The sequence below is a fragment of the Homo sapiens genome, chromosome 5 (assembly GCF_000001405.40).
Source record: "Homo sapiens chromosome 5, GRCh38.p14 Primary Assembly".
In the NCBI taxonomy this organism is placed as follows: Eukaryota; Metazoa; Chordata; class Mammalia; order Primates; family Hominidae; genus Homo; species Homo sapiens.
The window spans coordinates 61,155,531-61,178,175 of NC_000005.10; the positions used below are offsets into that span (position 1 = coordinate 61,155,531).

General features: G+C 40.2%; 1 protein-coding gene and 1 long non-coding RNA gene across 2 annotated transcripts in view, besides 6 other annotated features; one reads left to right on the forward strand and one right to left on the reverse strand.

Annotated features, from left to right (window-relative positions):
- Positions 1-2,173: 2,173 nt before the first annotated feature.
- SMIM15 (small integral membrane protein 15) lies at positions 2,174-6,938 on the reverse strand. Its single transcript, NM_001048249.4, has 3 exons — positions 6,687-6,938; positions 5,558-5,697; positions 2,174-4,669 (listed from the first exon to the last, which is right to left on the reverse strand). The coding sequence occupies exon 3, from the start codon at positions 4,639-4,641 to the stop codon at positions 4,417-4,419; it is 225 nt and encodes a 74-aa protein (NP_001041714.1). The 5' UTR covers positions 4,642-4,669; positions 5,558-5,697; positions 6,687-6,938; the 3' UTR covers positions 2,174-4,416.
- Positions 6,105-7,001: an enhancer, noted in NCBI's record as "NANOG-H3K27ac-H3K4me1 hESC enhancer chr5:60457462-60458358 (GRCh37/hg19 assembly coordinates)". NCBI's record gives its function as "activates a minimal SCP1, AML or CMV promoter by ChIP-STARR-seq in naive H9 embryonic stem cells {active_cell/tissue: H9 hESC(naive)}" and the evidence as "EXISTENCE:reporter gene assay evidence [ECO:0000049][PMID:30033119]".
- Positions 6,487-6,566: an enhancer, noted in NCBI's record as "active region_22589". NCBI's record gives its function as "activates an Ori minimal core promoter by ATAC-STARR-seq in GM12878 lymphoblastoid cells {active_cell/tissue: GM12878}" and the evidence as "EXISTENCE:reporter gene assay evidence [ECO:0000049][PMID:35858748]".
- Positions 6,637-6,896: an enhancer, noted in NCBI's record as "active region_22590". NCBI's record gives its function as "activates an Ori minimal core promoter by ATAC-STARR-seq in GM12878 lymphoblastoid cells {active_cell/tissue: GM12878}" and the evidence as "EXISTENCE:reporter gene assay evidence [ECO:0000049][PMID:35858748]".
- Positions 6,786-22,645, forward strand: part of SMIM15-AS1 (SMIM15 antisense RNA 1) — a 69,765-nt gene continuing 53,905 nt past the window's right edge. The window contains exon 1 of the long non-coding RNA NR_109908.1: positions 6,786-6,996. This is a non-coding gene — a long non-coding RNA (SMIM15 antisense RNA 1). The remainder of the gene's footprint in view (positions 6,997-22,645) is intronic.
- Positions 7,077-7,186: a silencer, noted in NCBI's record as "silent region_16043". NCBI's record gives its function as "represses an Ori minimal core promoter by ATAC-STARR-seq in GM12878 lymphoblastoid cells {active_cell/tissue: GM12878}" and the evidence as "EXISTENCE:reporter gene assay evidence [ECO:0000049][PMID:35858748]".
- Positions 7,427-7,526: an enhancer, noted in NCBI's record as "active region_22591". NCBI's record gives its function as "activates an Ori minimal core promoter by ATAC-STARR-seq in GM12878 lymphoblastoid cells {active_cell/tissue: GM12878}" and the evidence as "EXISTENCE:reporter gene assay evidence [ECO:0000049][PMID:35858748]".
- Positions 7,567-7,626: an enhancer, noted in NCBI's record as "active region_22592". NCBI's record gives its function as "activates an Ori minimal core promoter by ATAC-STARR-seq in GM12878 lymphoblastoid cells {active_cell/tissue: GM12878}" and the evidence as "EXISTENCE:reporter gene assay evidence [ECO:0000049][PMID:35858748]".

The window sequence follows — 22,645 nt, forward strand, 5'->3', positions numbered from 1 at the left end:
GCAATGTGGGCAAAAAAAAGATTTTTGGTTCCATATGAAATTTAAAGTAGTTTTTTCCAATTCTGTGAAGAAACTCAGTGGTAGCTTGATGGGGATAGCATTGAATCTATAAATTACCTTGGGCAGTATGACCGTTTTCACGATACTGATTCTTCCTAACCATGAGCATGGAATGTTCTTCCATTTGTTTGTGTCCTCTTTTATTTCGTTGAGCAGTGGTTTGTAGTTCTCCTTGAAGAGGTCCTTCACATCCCTTGTAAGTTGGATTCCTAGGTATTTTATTCTCTTTGTAGTAATTGTGAATGGGAGTTCACTCATGATTTGGCTCTCTGTTTGTCTTTCTTGGTGTGTAGGAATGCTTGTAATTTTTGCACATTGATTTTGTATCCTGAGACTTTGCTGAAGTTGCTTATCAGATTAAGATTTTTGAATGACCCAAATTTTTATGCTCTGAATATCTTGGTTAAGCATTAACAATGAATGCCTAAAAACACATAAATTAAAATTTTTACTTAATAGCAGGTAAAAATTTTAACTGCCTAAGAAATACACTACAGAAACATAAAACTGCATAAAACATTTATACTAAAACAAGTAATCAAATGACAAAATCACCACACTTAATGACAAAAAGCCCAACATTCCAGCAGCCCTGTTATATAATATCAGGTTAAATATTTTATCTTATTACATCATTACAAAGTGATACTACATTTTACCACAGAGGCAAAAAAGGAACTAGTCACTAGGTAATATGAAAGGAGATCTATACAGCCAGCAGGGTTGCTCAGACCTGTAATTCCAGTGCTTTGGGAGGCAAAGATGGGAGGATTGCTTGAGGCCTGGCATTTGAGACCAGCCTGGGCAACATAGCGAGACCCCATCTCTATAAAAAAAATTTTTTTTTTTTTGAGATGGAGTGCAGTGGTGCCATCTCGGCTCACTGCAACCTTCACCTCCAGGGTTCAAGTGATTCTCCTGCCTCAGCCTCCTGACTAGCTGGGATTACAGATGGGTGCAACCACACCCAGCTAATTTTTGTACTTTTAATAGAGACGGAGTTTCATGACCCCATTCGAGACCATGTTGGCCAGGCTGGTCTCGAACTCCTGACCTCAGGTAATCCAGCCGCTTCAGCCTCCCAAAGTGCTTGGATTACAGGCATGAGCCACCACGCCCTGCGGCAAAATTTTTTTTTAATTAGCTGGGCATGATGGTGTGTACCTGCAGTCCCAGCTACTTGGGAGGTTGAGGTGGGAGGATCACTTGAGCCCAGGATTTCAAGGCTGCAGTGAACTATCATCAGGCCACTGTACTCCAGCCTGGTGACAGAGCATGACTCTGTCTCTTAAAAAAAAAAAAAGGAGATACAATTTGTGATATAGTTGGGACTGTGAATTGAGATTAAGATGTTCTTAACTCCTAGACTGGATTGTAGAGAAAACTGTAAATGTTTTAACACACTAGTGTTTCTACTGCCAAATTCCTGTTATCTCATTAATTGCATTCCATATACACCTTTTGCAAATGTTTACCATATAGTCTGTGTTTCCCAAACTTTGGGTATTTGACCATGTGATCCCTTTTAATATGTTTGAGAAATGCAGAATTTGTCCTTAAATATTTATTCCAGATATGAAGTAAATCAGCATGATTCTATAACCAGTAGCAAATATAAAAGCAATCATTCCTAAATAGGATCAAATTGCCTCCAACTTAGAACCATATAAAATATAAGGTCTATTTCAACATTAGGTTTCCAGCCCACAGCTTCCTGTGCTTTTTTTTGAGACAGAGCCTTGCTCTGTCGCCAGGCTGGAGTGCAGTAGCATGATCTTGGCTCACTGCAACCTCTACCTCCTGGGTTCAAGCAATTCTCCTGCCTCAGCCTCCCCAGTAACTGGGATTACAGGTGCACGCCACCATACCCAGCTAATTTTTGTATTTTTAGTAGAGACGGGGTTTCATCATGTTGGCCAGGCTGGTCTTGAACTCCTGACCTTGTGATCTGCCTGCCTTGGCCTCCCAAAGTGATGGGATTACAGACATGAGCCACCGCACCCGGCCTCCTGTGCTTATTTCTAGTTTGCTTATTATAAACAAGTAAAATTTAAAATGTCCTTATATATCTGATAACTAGTAATATGCTGAAAGTTATCATGGATACTATGGCTCAAGTTCTGACATACAAACTTTTATTTATTTGCTGATTTTTGATAAAATGTTTGTTAGAGGCAGCCAGGGGACAGCTTTCTTTCTCCCCCAAGACCAGCTTTAGAATGGTAATTGATTGTACTTAGTTCTCAGAACTTCAGAAACAATGTAATAAGTAAACAATTTCTTAAAAGTATTCTAGATAATAGCAAATGGGATTCTTTAACAACAGTACTCTGTTGCAGTGAGAGGTGATTTTTCTGAAGAATCCCAAACCTCACAATATTCTCTATACTCCAGCCCCTTACACACACACACACACACACACACACACACACACTGTAAAGTATGAATCTCACATATATAGAAAGGCTCTCTAAATGATGGAAAAAAGTGGAAAAAAAAAGCATATGTCAAACAAATACAAAACTGGCATGTGTTAAGACTAATAAATTATAGAAAAACAGACCTTTAAATACCTTTAAGTTGTTACAACAGAACTGATGAAACCATAACTTTAGTAGGTAACTGAGAATTATGACTATATCCTTTGCTTCAATACTTTTACTCTAAAATGTGACCCTAAGTAAAACATGTACATAAATTCTTTCCATGAACAGCTTGATTGCAGAAAACCAAACATATTATAGATATATCTTAACACTGAATAATTTCAGTGCCTTGAGTTATAATGTGTTGCTCACACTGGCACCAAGTAGAGACTGATAATCTAAAAGAATAGCATTAAGTGTTATTCAAACTGGTCCATAAACATTCTCAGTGGTCCTTAGGTTCTGAGAGATACAGTCCTGAAATTTTACAAGTATGCTTAGCTGTAACTGAAATTCTAACTTGCATAACATAATGTAACTTAAAATGTTAGTTCCTCCAAAAAAAAAAAAAAAATCCAGGACCTCTTTATAAAAAATTATCAAATTTATTTTAATGTCTAGTTTCATTTTTAAACTGTAGCTGCTAGACAATTTTTTGTAATTTAAAATTCATTAATGGGTACAGAAAACATTAATAAGCTGACAGTGAATTAAATACTAACAGTGAATAAAATTATTGGACCATGCATTTATAAAAGCCATGTTTAATAGTAAAACGTTCCAGTTCTACTAAACTGAAAGAAACATCCTTTAGCTCCCTACTTCCAATTACAGCACATTCTCATTTTGATATAATTTATCCTTTTCACCCAATCACTACTATGCCCAACAAAATGTTTCCAAATTTTATACCTTTCTTTACCACTTATGAAGTATGGCGTAACTGTTACACTTTAAGAGTTCTTTAAAAGAAATGTGAAATTTAACGTTTTACTTTGAACCTGTTTGATCAGAAAGTATTAAATATCACTACCACATGAGTTAAAACAAAGAATGAAATAAAAAACAAATGGTGTCTTTGTAATCGGCGAATTACTTGATAAGACATTTTAACTATTTTACAGTTCTGCTTAGCACAAGAATAAACTGGGTTCCAAGGTACTACAGTGTTTGGCATTTTTACTGCAAGCTTTAAACCATAGTGTTACTCCTCTCAAGCCATCTCTAAGAAAATGGCAGTGTTTGTGAGTACAAAAATTGTTCTGTCCAGTAGGTGGTATTCTACATAGTCGAGATAAGAGAATTCTTTATAAAATTATGTTTTAAAAAATGGAAAATGACTTATAATTACCAGCTGTCTCAAAGGCTGTAATAAGAAAAATGCAGCAAATAGAAGTACTCATTAATATTATTTTGTTTTGAGAAAGCCAGAAATGATTCTAAGAAATAAACAATAATAATAAAAGATGTAATTAATATACTGTATCCCTTTTAAGCCAAAGCACACTTTTTACCTCAAGACTGTTCTGACTTTTACATTCTTAATTTCCTTTGTCCAAAATAGGACCCCATTTTAAATAGAGTTCATTTGAATTGAGTTCATAATCTAAAGTCACTTTTCCCCACAAGATGTTTTCATTTCAGTATATAAACTGCTAAGCGGCAAATGACTAAGTCAGTTATAAAGAATTTGTACCACAGTAAATGCTAATTTACAATAACTGTCAATAGAAACCTATAAACTTCTACACCCACGCCTAAAAGTTACTATAGTATTGAGGTCAGAACTAACATGATTCTTCCATTTGGTCAAATTTCATTTACTAAATCATACTGTCAAGAAATCCAAAGAAGAAACTTTAGTGGATTCTTCCAAAGCTGTGTAATTTTCCAAATGATTTTCCTCTGGTTGCAAAGCCTGTTCAGTCCTTCAATCCTTTTTTAGTCGTTTAGCTTTTGCAATGTTTTCTTGGCGTTTTTGCTTCTTCTTTTGCTCCTTCTCCCTGGCCTCAATCATCTTGGCCAATTTCCAAGACAGTACAGCACTTGCTAGGAACAGTGGAGTAAGGGCCAAAATAACGGTTGTAAGGAAGCCATAGGGGTCCTTTGCAGCCCATTCCACAACATACTCAGCCCAAGCCTTTATATCAAACATCTTCACAGCAGTCTTATGAAAACTGGGGCTGGGGGAGGCGGGTGGAGAACACAGAGGAAAAAAACAGGAGAAAAGACTATGTGGTTAATCAAATTTTGAAAAAGTTTCCTCACACAACCAGTTAACTCAGGATTCCATTATCACTCAGTTTGCTTTTTTAAAAAGTACAACTTAGTACTATTGTAATAAGGACTAGTATCTCTGGTTAGGAAAAAGTAATTCATCTAGTACAGCCAGAATAGTGACACTTCAAAGAGGTAAAGTTATAGAAGATTTAAAAAAGCCATGTGACTCTGTCATAAGGACTATGCATTCTCACATGCCTCCTATATTCAAGACAAACTTTATTTAGGAGGAGGCTTTTATAAAAATCTTGAGTTTTCTGTGGTCATTCCAGGAAACAGCTGAATACAGTTTGTCATTTTTTGACATATCCTTAGTATTACTAATTAACAAAAATACAAATCAGCAAATTTGGTGTTTGAAAAGGACAAGCAACAGAGCATGTGAAATGCTCGCAGAGAAGGAGAGATGACTATTTCCCCGAATGGGAAGGAGAGGGTAAGGGAGTCATGACATCGCATTAATATGCCAAAGAAGCAAAAAGTACTGTGCTATTTTATGCCCTTTCAGCTTTGAGGACCTCTGTTGGAATAAGCCTAATTTAATAAATGAGAAAGTAGCCTTAACAGATGCCATGTGTTTTGTTCCTTTTTGAGTGTAAGGAAAAGGCAACTGGCAAATGAGGATTATGTGACTTGAGTGACGTTTTCTATTTTGCCCCAGAGGCTTTTCTCCCTTTCATGTTTGTGTCAACCGCTATTCAAAGTGGAGAATTAGAATACCTGGGTAGGGAATGAGTGTATATACATCCACTTACAATTTCAACTGGAATTTTTTTAAAAAAATCATCTACCTTATGCTTGAGTAGTGATCCCTTAACTTTGTCCTGGTGTTATTAGTGACCCAATCACGACTTCAGATGACCCTTGGTAGTCTGTCTTCTTGAGTTCTACTGTACACATCTGAGAGACGGTTTAAATTCTGTACAATTGGCTAGTTGGAAAGAATACAAAAAATAAAACAAAATTTAAGTCACAATTTCAGGATAATTGTAATAAAATTTTAAATGGAAAATTTCTATATTGTATATATGCAACCTATATGACATCTAAAATTGCCTATCCGGTATAGTAACTTAATACGTTTCTTCCTCATTTGAATTTACAATTGCAAATGCCCTGTAAGAAAATCCTAATTACTGGAAATCAAGTATTTTACTAAGTTACTTATTTCAATAATAAAATTTTTTTAGTTCATTGACATACGGGAGACAAGTTGGCTCACTGACTGACTTACACAGCGTATCCGTTCCTAGATTTTCAATTTTTATACTAAAAATGTTGCCACTCATTTATTTACTGGATTAGGTACACCACTACAAAATCAAACAGCTCATCTTACTCTTTATAAAGGTTTTTTTGGGTCCATCATACAATTTGTGTCCTTTACTTAAAAAATTAGAAGACATAACCAAACAAATTATAGTAATTCACCCACAGTCCCATTACCCCAAGAAAACTGTGACTAGTTTTAATTATATCTTCCCCACGATTTTCAACTGAACACACATGAAAGTGCCTAATACGTTAAATATCTTAGCTCCTGGACTTCATACGACCTCACCCATACAGTTAGAATTAGGTACTACTGAGATCGATCTGCCTTCACCTTCTCCAGCCCAGTAGCGAATAAACAATGTAAGTTTCAGAAATAAGCAAAAGAACTTTGCAGTAAAAGAGCCATGGTCCACAGGCCACACATCTCCCTGCAACTCAACTTCGGACCCAAACGCTCGCGCCTCCACACTTTCAGGAATAAATCCTACTCTTCCGCCCAAAACGGATCGACCAGGCTCGATCTCCCAACCAGACCCGCGTGGCCCCTGCGGCTGCAACGGGTAGCACTTGACGGCCGTCCGCACTTCCTCCTTTGTCTTTCCCTTATTCCTTACGTTTCTCCCTTGCTCACTCTTCCCTCCTTACCCTATCGGGGCTGCAGACCCACGGAGGCCACGTTCACTCCTGCCCGTCGGCCTTGGCAAGCGCGGGCCCCTTGTCGCGCAGAGCGGAGGGTCCTGGGAGATCCTGGGTTGGCCCAGCCACACCTTGCGCCGCCGCCGTTTCTGCTGGACACCAGGAGAAAACCACGGCAGCTGCAGCCACCAACTTCCCCTACATAGCCCCACGGGATCGGATCCCACTCCCCACTCACCGCCAGACCGGAAGCAGGAAGGCGGAAGTCGCGGCCTTTGCGTCCCGCCCACAGGCGACCCGAGCCGCCAGCCGGGCGTGAGTAAGTCTAGGGCCCAGTTTCCGGCTGCGCCATTGCTGTGTGGGTCTTGGGACCTCGAGTTGGAGGACGCGGGAGGGTGGGGGCGGGGGCAGGGCAGCGCTGAGATTTCCGGGGAGCGGCAGGTGAGGCCGCGCGGGGCGGGTGACGGCACCCGGGCGGGCTCCTTTCCAGGCTGGAGCCCGAGACTGCCACGTCCTGCGGGGACCAAGTGGTGGGCGAGGAGGCGTGGAGCGGCTTCAGGACTCGAGGAGCGGTTCCGAAGCAGCTAGGGACTTTTGCCTTTGCCCCCCGAGGTCGATCGGAAGACAACCCCCATCCCCTGCTGTAGCGGGACAGTTGGAGGGTCATGGGTGGGTGAAGTGTTTGGCTGAGGGAAACTCAGACCAAAGAGCAGCGGCAAGAAAGCAGTTGGGTCCCCACAAAACGCCCGAAGTCAAGGTGAGGGTCACACAACGACTCTTGACGATTCCGGCGAGTTCATCCTGGTGCACATCCCACTCCATGCCTCTCTCTTCTGGTTGGACAATAGTTACATCCTTACGAAAAGGAGGCAAGCTACTGGGCCTTGGTGGATCCACTCAACCTTGTTACCAAGGGACATGCCGCCATGCTATGTGAAAAGGGGGGTTTTGTTGTTTGTTTTTAATTTAAGTATCTAATTCGTTTCACGAAAGAATGATCAATACCGGCCCAGAGTAAACTTGATAAGTAATTAAACTGTCAGGGCATAGAGTTCCCATAGAGGTGCTTGTTCTTTCAATACACAAATAAAGGGATGCAAAAGTCAACATGCAGAAAGGGTGAGTTAATATTGTCTTCTAATCTACAGGAACTGAAAGATTAGCTAATCTGGTTTGGTTGGTGACCAAATTTTGTGATTGCTTGCACTGTTTGACTACCTCTGACAAATGTTGCAAGACCTCTTCACTGATTCTCCAAAGACTATAGAATGTTCTCTTTCAGGAGCAAGCTGCGACATGTTTAACTAGTTTAGGTAAAACAACAATAACTGTTATTTACCAGGGAACAGGCTTTTGGCAGATAATCTAACGATCTACGATACTGTTCGTTGGGCATATGTTAATGTTTGTAATGTTGTATTACCAGCAGTTGTTTTCTTACTCCTTTTTATTTGAAAACCTGGATGATAGTTTCAAAGCCTATGCTGCTTAGGCCTAGCCTGTACCTTAGTAGCCAGAAAAAGTAGACTCAGTCACTGGATTGTGTGCACTGAATACTTACTTGAGATAACTGATTTTTCTAAAACTTCCCCAAGTCTTGAATCCAAGATGTGGGCAGAATGTATTATTTTAACATCCTTCGTTCCAGAGGCCAATGCGTGTTTTATTTTAATCATGATAGGTGGTTTTCCCAGTTACTGCCTCCGGATACTTGCAGTGCTGCATCCCTAGTTAAAAGCCCAGAAGTCTTGGGCAGGAAGGAAGGGCATATAAAGAGAAAGCCTTTGTAGTTCTTTAGCTGTAATCTAGACCAGGGGTCCCCAACGACGGACTGGTACCTGGTTTGCAGCCTGTTAGGAACGGGGCCGCACAGCAGGAGGTGAGCGATGGGTGAGTGAGCATTTCCGTCTAAGTTCCGCCTCCTGTCAGATCAGCAGCATCATTAGATTCTCATGGTGCGAACCGTAATGTGAACTGCATGTGCGAGGGATCTAGGTTGTGCGCTCCTTATGATAATCTAATGCCTGATGATCTGAGGTGGAACAGCTTCATCCTGAAAGCATCCCCCATCCCCGTCCATGGAAAAATTGTTTTCCACGAAACCAGTCCTGGATGCCATTAAGGTTGGAGACTGCTGATCTAGACCATGCCTTTACAATCTAAGTTTGCTCATCTAGCTTCAAGTTACAGGACAGTCTGCAAGACCAGGAACAGCATAGGGGTTGCCACAGTGGAGCTCCTTACTGCAGTCTGCATTGCCTTAACTAAAGGTGGTGTCAGGATTGATTCAAATACTGTGAACTACTTTCCATAAAGAGAAGTCTGAGCTCGTGAACTGAGATTCACAGTTGTGGTACAGTAATGTTATGTATACTCTGATAAATCACTCTGAGTGTGTTTCCACTTAGATATGTGGAAAGCATACTAGGCAATCTCCAATGCCCTTTCAGCTTTAAAATCTGTAAATTGGACTGGATTTGGTCATTTTTCTTAAATAAATAGCATAGTAAGGTATTTGATAGAAACATTATTGCAAGTTTTCTTAAGGTCTTTTTTTTTTTTTTTTTTTTTAATTTTGAGACGGAGTCTCTGTCACCAGGGCTGGAGTGCAGTGCTGCGATCTTGGCTCACTGCACCCTCCACCTCCCAGGTTCAAGCGATTCTCCTGCCTCAGCCTTCTGAGTACTTGGGACTACAGGCGGGCATCACCACGCCCAGCTAATTTTTGTATTTTTAGTATAGATGGGGTTTCACCATTTGGCCAGGATGGTCTCGATTTCTTGACCTCGTGATCCACCCGCCTCGGCCTCCCAAAGTGCTGGGATTACAGGCGTGAGCCACCACCGCGCCTGGCCTTTTTTTTTTTTTTTTTTTTTAAACACGGTCTTGCTCTGGCCCAGCTGGAATGCAGTGGTGCGATCATAGCCCACTGCCTCTTCGAACTCCTGGGCTCAAGGGATCCTCACTCCTCACCTTCTGAATAGCTGGGACTACAGCCACAAGCCACCATGCCCAGCTTAGCATACTCATTATTTTTTAAACCTATGACCAGTGTTAATTTTCTGCTTAATGTATTCAGTTCTAAGTCAAGCCCAACTAGAGAGAATGAGTTTCAGTGATTTTTTTTTTTTTTTTTTTTGAGACAGGGTCTCACTAAGTCACCCACGCTGGGGTGCAGTGGGTCCATCACTGCTCACTGCAGCCTTGACTGCCTGGGCTCAAGCGATCCTCCCACCTCAGCCTCTAGAGTAGCTGGGACTACAGATGCATGCCACTATGCCCAACTAATTTTTAAAAATTTTTTTCTAGAGGCAGGGTTTCACTCTGTTGCCCAGGCTGGTCCCAAACTCCTTGCCTGAAGTGATCCTCCTGCCTTTGTCTTTCAAAGTGCTGGCACTACAGGTGTGAGCCACTGTTCCAGGACAAGATCTTATTTCTTTGTTTGAAAAGATCCTTAATCAGGTTTTTATTCTCTCAAATGTCTGTCAGAATACGAATTTAGAATAACAAGGAAATAAGGTCTGCTTTATTTACTTTTAAGAAATAAAATATTATTCATGTAAGTTTAGCCAAACTAACTAAACCTGATGCTGTTAATGAAATAGGGCCTGCCTTTGCATAAGATAATTCCTGTGTAGTATATCACACCACCAGCCTCTTCAGCACTAGTGTACTCTATTGCAATTATATTTTATAAGTAGAGCCTTATAAAATTCTTTTGTCTATTGAGAATGGAAGTCCTGTGGCAGTCCCATGCCATTTTTTTTCTTAAAAAGTATTTTTCCCTTGATTGGTGCAAAATTATATCTCATTCTAACCCATGTCAAAGTTGTAAGTAGTGAAACCAGAATAAGATTCAGATAATATTAAGATAATAATATAGTTTAATAATAACAATTGAGTGTGTCTAAAAGACTTTGAGAGTTCTCTTACCTGCATCTTACTTTGATGGAATTGGTTTCTTCCCTAAATTTTATTTTGTGAGGTTTTTTACTTCCATTGAAACATAATGCAAAACATTTCTTAATAGGCACATTTATGTAATATTTATTTATTTTTATTTATTTATTTATTTTGAGGCAGAGTCTCGCTCTCTTGCCCAGGCTAGAGTGCAGTAGTGCGATCTCAGCTCACTGCAGCCTCCACCTCCCAGGTTCAAGTGATTCTCCTGCCTCAGCCTCCCGAGTAGTTGGGACTACAGGCGTGCACCATCATGCCCAGCTAATTTTTGTATTTTTTGTAGGGATGGGTTTTTACCATATTGGACAGGCTGGTCTCAAACTCCTGATGTCGGGTGATTTGCCCGCCTCAGCCTCCCAAAGTGCTGGGATTACAGGCCTGAGCCACTGTGCCCAGGCAGTGATTTTTTTTTTTTTAGCATAATCAGATTTTAGTGATATTTGAAAGTTTATACAGAAGAATAATTTTTTTTAAAGCTACTTATTGTGGCCAGGCACATTGGCTCATGCCTGTAATCCCAGCCCTTTGTGAAGCAGAAGCAGGTGGATCACCTGAGGTCAGGAGTTCGAGACCAGCCTGATGAACTTGGTGAAACCCGTCTCCACTAAAATTAAAAAATTAGCTGGGCGTGGTGGCACATGCCTGTAATCCCAGCTACTTGGCAGGCTGAGGCAGGAGAATTGTTTGAACCCAGGAGGTGGAGGTTGCAGCAAACAGAGATCATGCCATTGCACTCCTGCCTAGGCAACAAGAGCGAAACTCCATCTCAAAAAAAAAAAAAAGCTACTTATTCCAGCTCTTTGGGAGGCCGAGGCTGGTGGATCACCTGAGGTCAGGAGTTCGAGATCAGCCTGACCAACATGGAGAAACCCCGTCTCTACTGAAAATACAAAATTAGCCAGGCATGGTGGCGCATGCCTGTAATCTCAGCTGCCCGGGAGGCTGAGGCAGGAGAATTGCTTGAACCCAGGAGGCAGAGGTTGCCGTGAGCCGAGATCGCGCCACCGCACTCCAGCCTGGCAGCCTGGGCAACAAGAGCAAAACTCCATCTCAAAAAAAAAAAAAAAGTTACTTATTGAGTACTTAGTATGTACCAGGTGCTGGGCTAGGTGCTTCACACTTATTATCACTAATCCTGAAACTAAACAACACCACAGGATTGTATTTTTATACTAATTTTACAGATAGGGAACCAGAGACTTTAAAAATAAAGCAGGAATTTTAAGTATATCTGGCCAAAATCTCTGCTCTTTTTTAATCGAAAAACAAAACCATTGTAGAATCAAAAAACATGCTTTCATTCTATGAAATCAGCGTTTTTTGTCTTTCATTTTTCTTGACAAAAAATGCTGATTTTATAATATGAAAGTATGTTTTTTGATTCTATAATTGTTAACAGATAATAACTAAAATCCCCCCAAACTTCAAAATTGCCTATTGCCCAGGTGGTGGCAGCATGTCTCAGAGAGCCAATGTGCTGGGGAAGGTTTTCTCCAACCTTGCCAGTTGATCGGCTTCTTCATCCCACATACATGACATTATAAACCTCTCAATTCTCTGTTGGGCTCTTTCACTGCTATTAGACCAACCCATCGGTGGTTCATGGTCCCATTAGCCTCATCTTCTGAATGGGTCATACTCTGCCTGTTTCAGCCTATTTTCCCTGCAAAGTGTGACCAAATTGTTTTCTGGAAAACTCATTTAGGCCTATCCTATAAGTTGTTTCAGTTAGTATTTTTCCAACCATTATTAAATGTTGTTTGGCAGAAACACCTCCTAAACTGTTAGTTAATATTATTAAGAAATGCTTGTTTAAATTAGAAGGCATGCGTCTCAAACTTTGGAATACACCAATTAAAGGAGATAATGAAAAGCTTATAAAAGATAGAGGCCGGGTGCGGTGGCTCACGCCTGTAATCCCAGCACTTTGGGAGGCTAAGGTGGGTGGATCAAGAGGTCAGGAGATCGAGACCATCCTGGCTAACATGGTGAAACCCCGTCTCTACTAAAAATACAAAAAAATTAGCCGGGCGTGGACTAAAAACACAAAAAATTAGCCAGGCGTGGTGGTGGGTGCCTGTAGTCCCAGCTACTCAGGAGGCTGAGGCAGGAGAATCACTTGAACCCGGGAGGCGGAGCTTGCAGTGAGCCGAGATCGCGCCACTGCACTTCAGCCTGGGTGACAGGGTGAGACTCCGTCTCAAAAAAAAAAAAAAAAAGGATAGAATTAGTCTTCAAAATAAGAACAATAAAATTCAATAGGGAGCAGTACAAGGTTATATAATTTGGAAGGAATGCATATAAATATATAGCAGATTACTCGTTAAACTTTCATTAGCCAAAAATTGCTTAAAACGTTCTTTTCATATGTTTGCAGGGCTACTGCCTTCCTAGAGGTTTCAAATGAAGTGCTACCTATTACAAAAGGCTTCTCCACCCCCATAACATTTTTTTTCTCCACAGCTTTTACCTCAATCTGATACCTTGTTTACTGGTTCACTGTCTATTTTTTCCACTAGAATGTAAGCTATATGAGGTCGGTTACCCCAATACCTAGAACATTGTTTTAAATAATTGATTTCACGATGTAGCATTGTTGCTTACAAATAAAACTGAGAATGTTTGAAGGAATTATGAAATAATTTAAATCCTGGATATTTGTGAAGCTCATAGTAAAGTGCCAAACTGTTGAAGTATGTTTTGAAAGTGGTGAGATACCCTAGTAGGAAGAGGTCTAAAAGATTAGTAAGATGTTTTGGGAAAGGTTAAAATAATTGTAGTTATCGTGTTAATGAGAGAAGACTAGTTACTTAATGATTTCCAACTTCGTAAAAGTATTTACAGGAAAGTCGTGATTCATCATTTTCATTGATAAAAAGAATTAGTCCTAGGCCGTAGGTGCTACGATTTAAGATAAGAGCAAGCTAGACTAGAGATCTAAATAGAGATCTTTGAAAATGGGATAAGAGTGTATACGCAGACTAGATGCCCTCACTAGATACTTTCCAGCCTGTGATTCCAAACGCAGATTGTGGGAGAAAGATTAGATAGCAGGTGCTTCTGTTGTTGATAATTCCTTGCTACCCATGGCCATTGCCATTTTAAAACCAATTCAGTGTGTTTTTTGAGCGTAGTCAATATAGGTGATTATATATTGCTGTTTTGGGTAGTTTATATTTGTTGACATAATACTGAAAATTGGATGTGTGCTTTTTTAACTCCAAGACTTCATATTTACAATGCTTAATCTCCAGAATGCCACCATACATGTACATGCTGCAAACTAATTCCCTGTAGTTAGCAGCCATCCTTTTGGAGGAGTAAAATGTCCAGTAAATCTGAAGCCTTGGGTTGTAGTCCTGCTAAAATCGTAAGAGACCCTAAACTTTCTGGCTGAAACTAGAGGATCAAATATTAGGCCTGTCCCTATATGATTTTTAGCTATGTCAAGTAACTTTTTATTTCTGTACTGGGTTCTCCTAGCCATTAAATTAGAATTGCTATCCCATTGGGAAGACTAATTCACGTTTAAGAAGCCTTCAGTGTAAAAGCTTTGTATTGCAAAAGCAGCCCCTAGCACGATTGCCTTCACCAAGTAGCATTTTAATTTAGACCTTCTACCTTCACCTAAGCTAACTGCTTAAAGTAACCATGCAAAAATTTTTAACTGCATTTGCAATATGATGTTGTCAAGGGTATTGTCCTCTGTGTCATATTGTGCCCTTTTACTTTTTTATTTTTTAATTTTATTAGAGATGGGGTCTTGCTGTGTTGCCAGGGCTGGTCTCAAACTCCTGGCCTCAAACAATCCTCCTGCCTCAGCCTCCCAAAGTGCTTGGATTACAGGCGTGAGCCACCACACCCAGCCTCAGTGTCCTTTATATAAAGTCCCATGTAAGATATATTAGTAAGTGATTCTTAGAATAGTTTCGGAAGCCACTTTTTGATAGTGAAAATTTTGTCAGGAAGCTCAAGCCAAATTTGAAATGCACGTTTAACGGTCATCCTAACCTGCATACTTGCATTTCTTTTTAAATATGCTTTTCCTAGAACAGATATCCTTTATCATTATTGTATATGTTCACGTAGGAAGACATCGCAATCCTTTGTGAAATAATGTGGGGTACAGGTTGCCTGTAGGTAAAGTGTTTGAATCTCAGAAGTTTACATAGAGACCCCTGATATGTTAACAGGTAGTTACAAGTAAAATTCTCCCATTGATCCAAATTTTTATGTTTATTTTTAAATCTCATAACTATTCAGAACCATTAGTTCTCATTCAGAACTGTGGAACGTAAGAAATCATTTGGAATTGCATCCCAAAGTCTAATTCTAAAAGCTAGTTTGTGTCTTTAAAAAGCTTTCAGAGTATAATGTGTATATTTGGAATCTACTTTAAAAAGTGAACAAAAATTTAATGATACCAGGCTATAAATATAGTTTCCTAAACCATCAGTTACACATCCTGGTCCCTCACTTAAAGACATCCTGGTCCCAAATTTTTAGTTGCATCTGCTGAGTTCAGTTTATGTTTTTAGGCTTCCTGGCTTAAAGTAAGGAAGTAGAGCAATCTGAAATCAGAAACTCCATTCTGTTTCATATATGTCTTCTTGAAGTAGGGTAAGTAATACTGGCAAGTTTGATGAGTTTCTGGAGGCTTTGAATTTGAAGTTTTCCTAAATTTTTAGATTTGCCCTTGACCAACTAATTCTCCACTCTCTGTAATAAGCAGATAATAATAATTCCTGCCTTCAGACAGAAAGTTGGACCAATTTTTTTTTATTTTTTTTTTTATCTCTAGGTTTTAATATTCTGTTGTAGGACTATGCCACAGTTGTAGAGTTGTACTGTTAATGAATATAGGTGTATAGGAATCTGATGTAATCTCTAGTTCTGGGTTCATATTTTATCTCATTATGTGGGTCAAGGAAACTTTATTTTTGTGCCTAGATTCCTATATCCATAAAATAGTATTAATAATACCTGTTTATTGTGATACTAATTAATAAACATGTAACTTCCTTTTGATAATAAAAAGGTTGTATTCTGTAGAATTCATTTGTAAGATGATTGTTGGGAGCTTACACAGATTATCATGTAATTAATACTATAAATAGTAGCTAAGTTCCTCACTTAGCCTGTAAATGCAGATTTGACACACAGCCTAAGTGGAAATAGTGCCTCTGTGTAAAAATGGTAGAAATTTTAATACTGGTAGTAAATAGTGGCCAGACATGGTGGCTCACGCCTGTAGTCTCAGCACCTTGGGAGGCCGAGGCAGGAGGATCCCTTGAACCCAAGAGTTCAAGACCAGCCTAGGAAACAGGGTGAGACTTCCTATCTCAAAACCATAAATAAATAAATTAATGAAATTTTTTAAATAGCAAAAATTCAATGAATTTTTGATTGCCTTGTACCACAGTATGATTTTGTAAAGAGTTATAGAAAATGAATTTGTCTTGGTCCTTTTTTTCAAACTTTTATACCCTGGAAGGTATGAATGCTTTGTCAGCACTTTTTGGACCACTTTACCATATATGTAGCATTGCATATATGCAATACGTATATGCAATCATATATGTAGTACAGGAATCACTTTTTGTTGCATCTGTCTTCAAATCTGCTAATCCTTTTATACCACAGAGAACTCAAAGCTACACATGGGCCTATAAATTATTCATGCATGTATGTAATGCATATGGAATATAGTCCTATACATTAACTGTGATGTGCCCTCACCCTGTATCCCCCACATTATTATCTGTAGAATGAGATACAAACTTCTTAGAGGATCCTAGAGATCCTACTAGTCTGGCCCAGGCTCCTTACAAATCTTCTGCATGATAGATTTATTTCAGACCTCTTGTAATTCCAAGACATGTCTTCTGGTTCGGTGGTTGAGGGTATAGACTCAAACCAAACTACCTGGTTTGAATCCCAGCTCTGCCTCTTGCTAGGATGCTGCTGCTATGAGAATGTACCTCACAGACCCCCAACTACAGGGAGCTTACTTGGCCAAGGGCCCCAGCTGCTTGCTATGCTGTGAAATCCATCACTATGTTTGTGCTAAGACCTTGCTTTTCTCACAGTTCAGCAACTGAGCATCATAGAGATTCTAGGAGACCCAAGACTCTTCTGATAGCCAGCTCAGGCTCAAGGACATCCCCATTGCTTTGCCAAGCCTTCCTTAGGCTACATGGCAGTCTGGTACACTTCCACACAACCTTCTTTCCCGCTCTCTTACATTTGGGGTCAGACTTGCATCCTAGTGTGATAGTCCACCAGTTCTTTCCCAGCTCCTTCCCTATCTTCTCTCACAGGTGTTTTCCCTAATAAAAAGTCTTGTACATTTAGTCCCATCTTGGCATCTACTTCTGGGGTGATAATATTGGAACAGTCCCATCCATTACCTGACTGAGAAGATGCCACCTTAGTTGGTAGATGGAGCATTCATAGTCCCAGACATAACTTTGCAGCTTAATTGCTTAATTTCACCAGTGTTGACTTGGAACCCTGTCCCAATAGAAGGAAATAATGGGGCTAAGTGTGATACAGGCATTTGAAAATGCTTGCAGAGACAGCAGAGTTGGCTGGTTATTGCTAACTTAAACACTACAAGTGGAAAACAAGAAATGGGACTGTTAACAAGCAGTTAATAGCTAAGTATGAGAGGCTCTATGGTAACTTACAAAGAGGTCTTTATCACCTATAGGACAGATTCAGTTGAACCACAGGTTCAAGAGCTAATTGTTAAGAGTCACAGAGCTCCAGAGACATTGGACCATTTAATATTTAGAATAGGCAGGTCTATTAATGTAGAGAAACCTGGGATCCTGAACATGGGATGGGGTCTGGATGGATGCCCCTGCAGCTCCCTCTGGACCTTCTGGTCTAACTAGTATGTCTGCTGTGCTGGAAGATACAGAAGCTTGCTGCCACAAGGCAGTAGCCCTTTCTCCCACCTTCTCCAACTTCCCCTACTTCCTTTCCTGGCTGCCAAGCCAGTAACTAAGATTAAATCCCAACATAACCCAGCTGGGACATGCTGACGTATTTGCAAGAACCAGGGGAGCACTCTTGGGATTGGATTTTAAGGGTGCTTGGGTCTGTGGACTAAGCTGTCTTAGGACAGCCAAGTAAAACACTGAAACTGCCTCCCACTCCTGCCAAGATAGTAAATCAGACACAATATTGTATCCTGGGGGAATGACGGAAATTAGTCCCACTATTTAAAACCTGAAGGATGGAGGAGTGGTGGTCCCAATCGTATCTTTTAATTTGCAGGCTGCTCCTTGAAACTGAATAGATCCTAGATGGTAACTATAGACTTCTACTAACTTAACCAAAGAATAACCCTGCTCTCACCTGCTGTGCTGGACTCATTGCTAGAGCAGATCAGTACAGATACATGGTATGCAATCTTTGATTTGGTAAATGCATTTTATACCATTCCAGTTGGAAAACAGGATCAGAAATAGTTCACATTCATGTAGAACAGACAAAAATATTCAGGCTGAGTTTTGCCTCAGCCTGTGTTAACTCTCACCCTCAGTCATAATATGAAGAACTCTGGACCATCTCATCCCTCAGAACACCACACTGATCCAGTTTATTGACAACATCCTACTTATAGGACAGGATGAGGAAGAGATAGCTAGTATGGTGAAGGCCTTGGTAAGATACCTGAATGCCAGAGGATGGGAGATAAACACTGAAGATTCAGAGAACAGTCACATTAGTAAAGTTTTTAGAGGTCCAGTGCTCAGGGCAGTGTCGAGATATCCTCTCCGAAGTGAAAGACAAATTGCTGCGTCTTACAGCCTCTATACCAATAAGGAAGTATAGCACTTGGTAGACCCCTTTGGGTTCTGGAGGCAACACATTCTACATCTAAGAGTAATGAGCCAGCTCCTCATATACCAAGTGACGTGGAAGGTCGCCAGCTCTGAATGGGGCCCAGAACAGGAAAGGGCTCTGCAACAGTTCCAGGCTTCAGGTGCAAGCAGCCCTGATACTTGGATCATATGACCCAGCAGACCCTAGTGTGTCAGTGGTGGGAAAAGATGCAGTGTGGAATTTATGGCAAGTCCAGTGGAAGAGTCATAACATAGGCCCCTGGGATTCTGGAGCAAGGTGATAACGTCTGCAGCAGAGAATTGTATTCCCATTGAGAAACAGCTCTTCCATGTCACTGGCTGCTATAGAGACTGAATGCTTTACCATGGGACACTTAAACCTCCTCCTCCCTATCCTTGAGTGACTGACTTTCTAACTCAATATTTATTAGTTGACATTCTACTGAAAGAAAGCATTTTCCTTCCTCCCCCATTCATTTTTTCATTTGTTTATAACAGAATGGACTCATGGATTCTTAGTCAACAAATCAAATATTGTTACTGTTGTTACTTATTTTGATGTTCTAACTGTCCCAGTTTTGACCAATGGGAACCCCAGGATGTCTATGTCCTTTACTTGTGTCCTCATCATTCTTTGGGGACTTTCTTGCTTTTTGGTACAAGATGTTCCAGGCTCAACTTGTACTATTCCCACTCTAGCCCTGCAATTGGCTATTTCTCCAAGGAGCTCTGCTTCCTTTCCACGTAGAATGGTATTCAGGAACCAAGATCTACTGAGTGCCAGGTTTGCTCATTGCTACTGGTGTGTCATTGTGTGTAGTCCCTCTCAGCAGACGGATACATACAAAAATACTTATATTTATTTCTAGCTACTAAAAACCATGAATTTGTACTGATACCTTCAACTCTAGTCAAATGCTGCTTTCTAGTTTCCCCCTTTTCCATATTTATAACTCCTTTAACAGGAAGAAACCTGGCTGCCATTATCCTCAAAATATTTATGTATTTGCTCATGAATAGAATACACAGAAAGTAATTTTAGAATTGCTAACTCATACTACTGTGAAAAGAAAGCTTACTAGATTTTGGGGTGACGTGTTTCAATTGTCTTTCAATTTGGCAGCTGAAATGCCATCCTTTAAATAAGGTTAACATATTCAAACTTAAGCCCCAAATAACCCTATCTAGGCCATGAGAACTGGATGGTTCAGAGGCTTATTAAAAGGCCGTAGGGATTCAGCAATCTTTAGGTTACTAGCTTTAATCCTCACATCTACTGTAACTAACAGTGGTTGACACGGAATTGTTTATGTTGGCTAATAGTAGCTGATCATGGCTTTATCTTCCAGGTCTTAGTGATTAAAATCACATCACTGAGAATTGCCACCTCAGCTGAAGGAAAGGGCAGATTTCCCACAACGGTGCTGTTTAATCTTTTTAAAAGCAAACTACAACAGATTGTTCATAAGTAATTTCTGTGCATGCAAAAAGTACTTAAAGCACAATTCTCAGTTACATCTAATAAGTGTGCAATATGATCATATCCTTTTTAAAATCCCATCAGGTTTTACAAGCTACAGATATTTTTGAACAAATATTTAGAAAATGATTCAAGGAAAAAGGTGCTATCAAAGGCAGTACTTTGAATCTGGAAGGCCAGTGCTTTCTCTCTGCACCAAAACCAAATTGATTTTAGGAGATGGCATTTTTTAGTTGGAATATAAATTCAGTTTAGGATTTTGTGTAAATGTCCTGTCAACATCAGGTTTCAAGAGTGCAAGTCATTTGTGCCTTCATAAGGGTTTCTTTTCACTTTTAGTAGTTTGTGTCATTTTGCTAGATGTTGTTAAGCACTTTTAACTTGCATTCTTAGCATTAAATGGTAAGCACTCCACAGATGAATGAATCCTTTAGTATTGACAGGACCTTTGAGGAAGGCTTATAGTTACTAATATCAGTATTCAGTGTTGTTCGGTACATTAGCTTGTCCCTCTAAAATGAGCAGTAAACTTAAAATTTATTACTGTCATCAGCTTAATATCAGTACATCAACTTGCCTATTTTGCTTGATAGTTTACCTTTACATTTACTGTATCTGCTCTTTACTAAAACCAAATTTTGTGTTGAGTCCTTAAAGTGTCTGGCCTATTTTCTATGAACTTGTATAACTAGGAAAATGTTAGGGAAAAGAAGAAGGAGCACTTTCAGTCTTTGGAAAGCACATTGACCTAATTCATAAGGCGATGTAAAGGCTGGAATTATGCAAGCTGGCCTGCCTTGATATTATCTTGTCTAAATGACCTTAAATTAATGCAGCTATAGTTGATTAAACAAAAATATAAATTTATTATTAGAAAGTACACCTGTCAGTTTACTTTTATTTCATCTCTACCAAAGCGTATGACATTTGTTCTTCAAGGAAACCATTGATGTGCATGCTCCTAATTTTAAGACAGTCCAGTTGGGATTCCTTTAAGGTAGATTAGTTTTTAGGTAGAGTATCATCATTAAATGTCTGTGGTAGGCAGTGTCTAAGATGACTCCCAAAGATACTGTCTTCCTTGTATTTGTGCCCTTGTATTATCCCCTCCTGTAGAGTTTGGGTTGGAGTTTTTGATAAACAGAATCTGGCAAAAAGCAATGGATGTCATTTCCAGGTTATAGATAAACTCTGGCTTCCACCTTGCTCACCCCCTTGTTCTCTCACATGCTTACTTTAACGGAAGCCAGTTACCAGACTATGAGCTGCCCTGAAAGGCAGGAGAGCCAAAGAAAGCTTCTGGCCAACAGCCGGTGAGGAGCCCTGTCCTGCCAATAGCCACTCGAGTGAGCTCACATGCAAGCTCTCCTCCTCCCCACACCCAGCCTGGACTGACACCCCATGAATGCAGTCTTCAAGAAACCCTGAGCCAGAGGACCCACTAAGCTGTGCCCAGATTCCTGACCAAGAGACACTCTGAGAGAAGGGCTGGCTGTTTGAAGCTGCTAAATTTTGGGATAATTTGTTACCCAGCCATAGATAACTAACACAATGTCCTTTAAAAAACAAAAAACAAAAGCCCATCAAACTTCCTGTTTTCTTGATAGGGCTTCAACTCACATTTGAGATCAATAGTTTTGCACAGTGATTGTCAACCCCGGCTGTACATTAGAATCACCTGGGCAGTTTTTTAAAACTACAAGTACCTGGGCTTCACGCCAAGCAATTCCACTTGAATTGGTCTGCAGTGGAGTCTGGGCCTCAGTATTTTTTTGAAGTTCCCCAGGTAATTCCAGTAGGCAAATGAGGAATCACTGATTTAACACAAGTGGACTCAGCACTTTCCAAGTCCTGGGTGTATTGAGCAGGATATGGAGCTCCCTGTCGTAAGTAAGGCAAGAAGACTAACATGTAAGAAAGAAATTACAAGGTGATATAAGAAGCACAGAAGAGGAAACACCCAACTCAGCCTGATAAATCAGAAAAGGTTTGACAGAAAATATTAGGCCATTTCTTAAGCTTAAGTGTATCAAAAGCTAGTTAACAAGAACTTGGGAAAATAAACATTCCAGGCAGGGGAAAAGCAAGAGTACAGGCACACAGCTGTCAGAGAATAAGCAGGGAGATGGTATGCTCATGTTTGAGTAATAGGTCAGGAAAAAACTCCAGAGGGGTGAAAGATGAGGACACGACCTGTGGTGGTGGCGACCTGTGGTGGTGGCCAAAGGAATAGAGAGTAGGGGCGAATGAATTTGCTAGTCAGGATCTACGATGGCTAGGATGTGGAGCGAGGCACTGAAACACAGAGGAGCCCGGAATGACTCCCAGTTCTGGTTTGCTGATTGTGTAGGTGGAAGACTAACTTTGGCAGCAAGTACGGGGGAAGCAAAAGCAGAAGACAGAGGGAAATGAACCCTCCATCTGAAACTGAAACAGTTCAGTTTTGGACCTGTTAAGTTTGAAGCCTCAGAATAAACAACTGGTGGCAGTTGGCCCTTGAAATGAAAACCCAGTTGCCATGTCACTTGCCAGAAGAGCACGTTCTTGTGGATGATTTGGTGTATTTGGAAATAATCGACAACTACCTTCTATTTTGGTGCTTTGGTGATTTGCAGTCAGCTTTCAATGAGACTGGGAAGATCTTGAGAATTAGCTGTCTTGACATTTGGAAC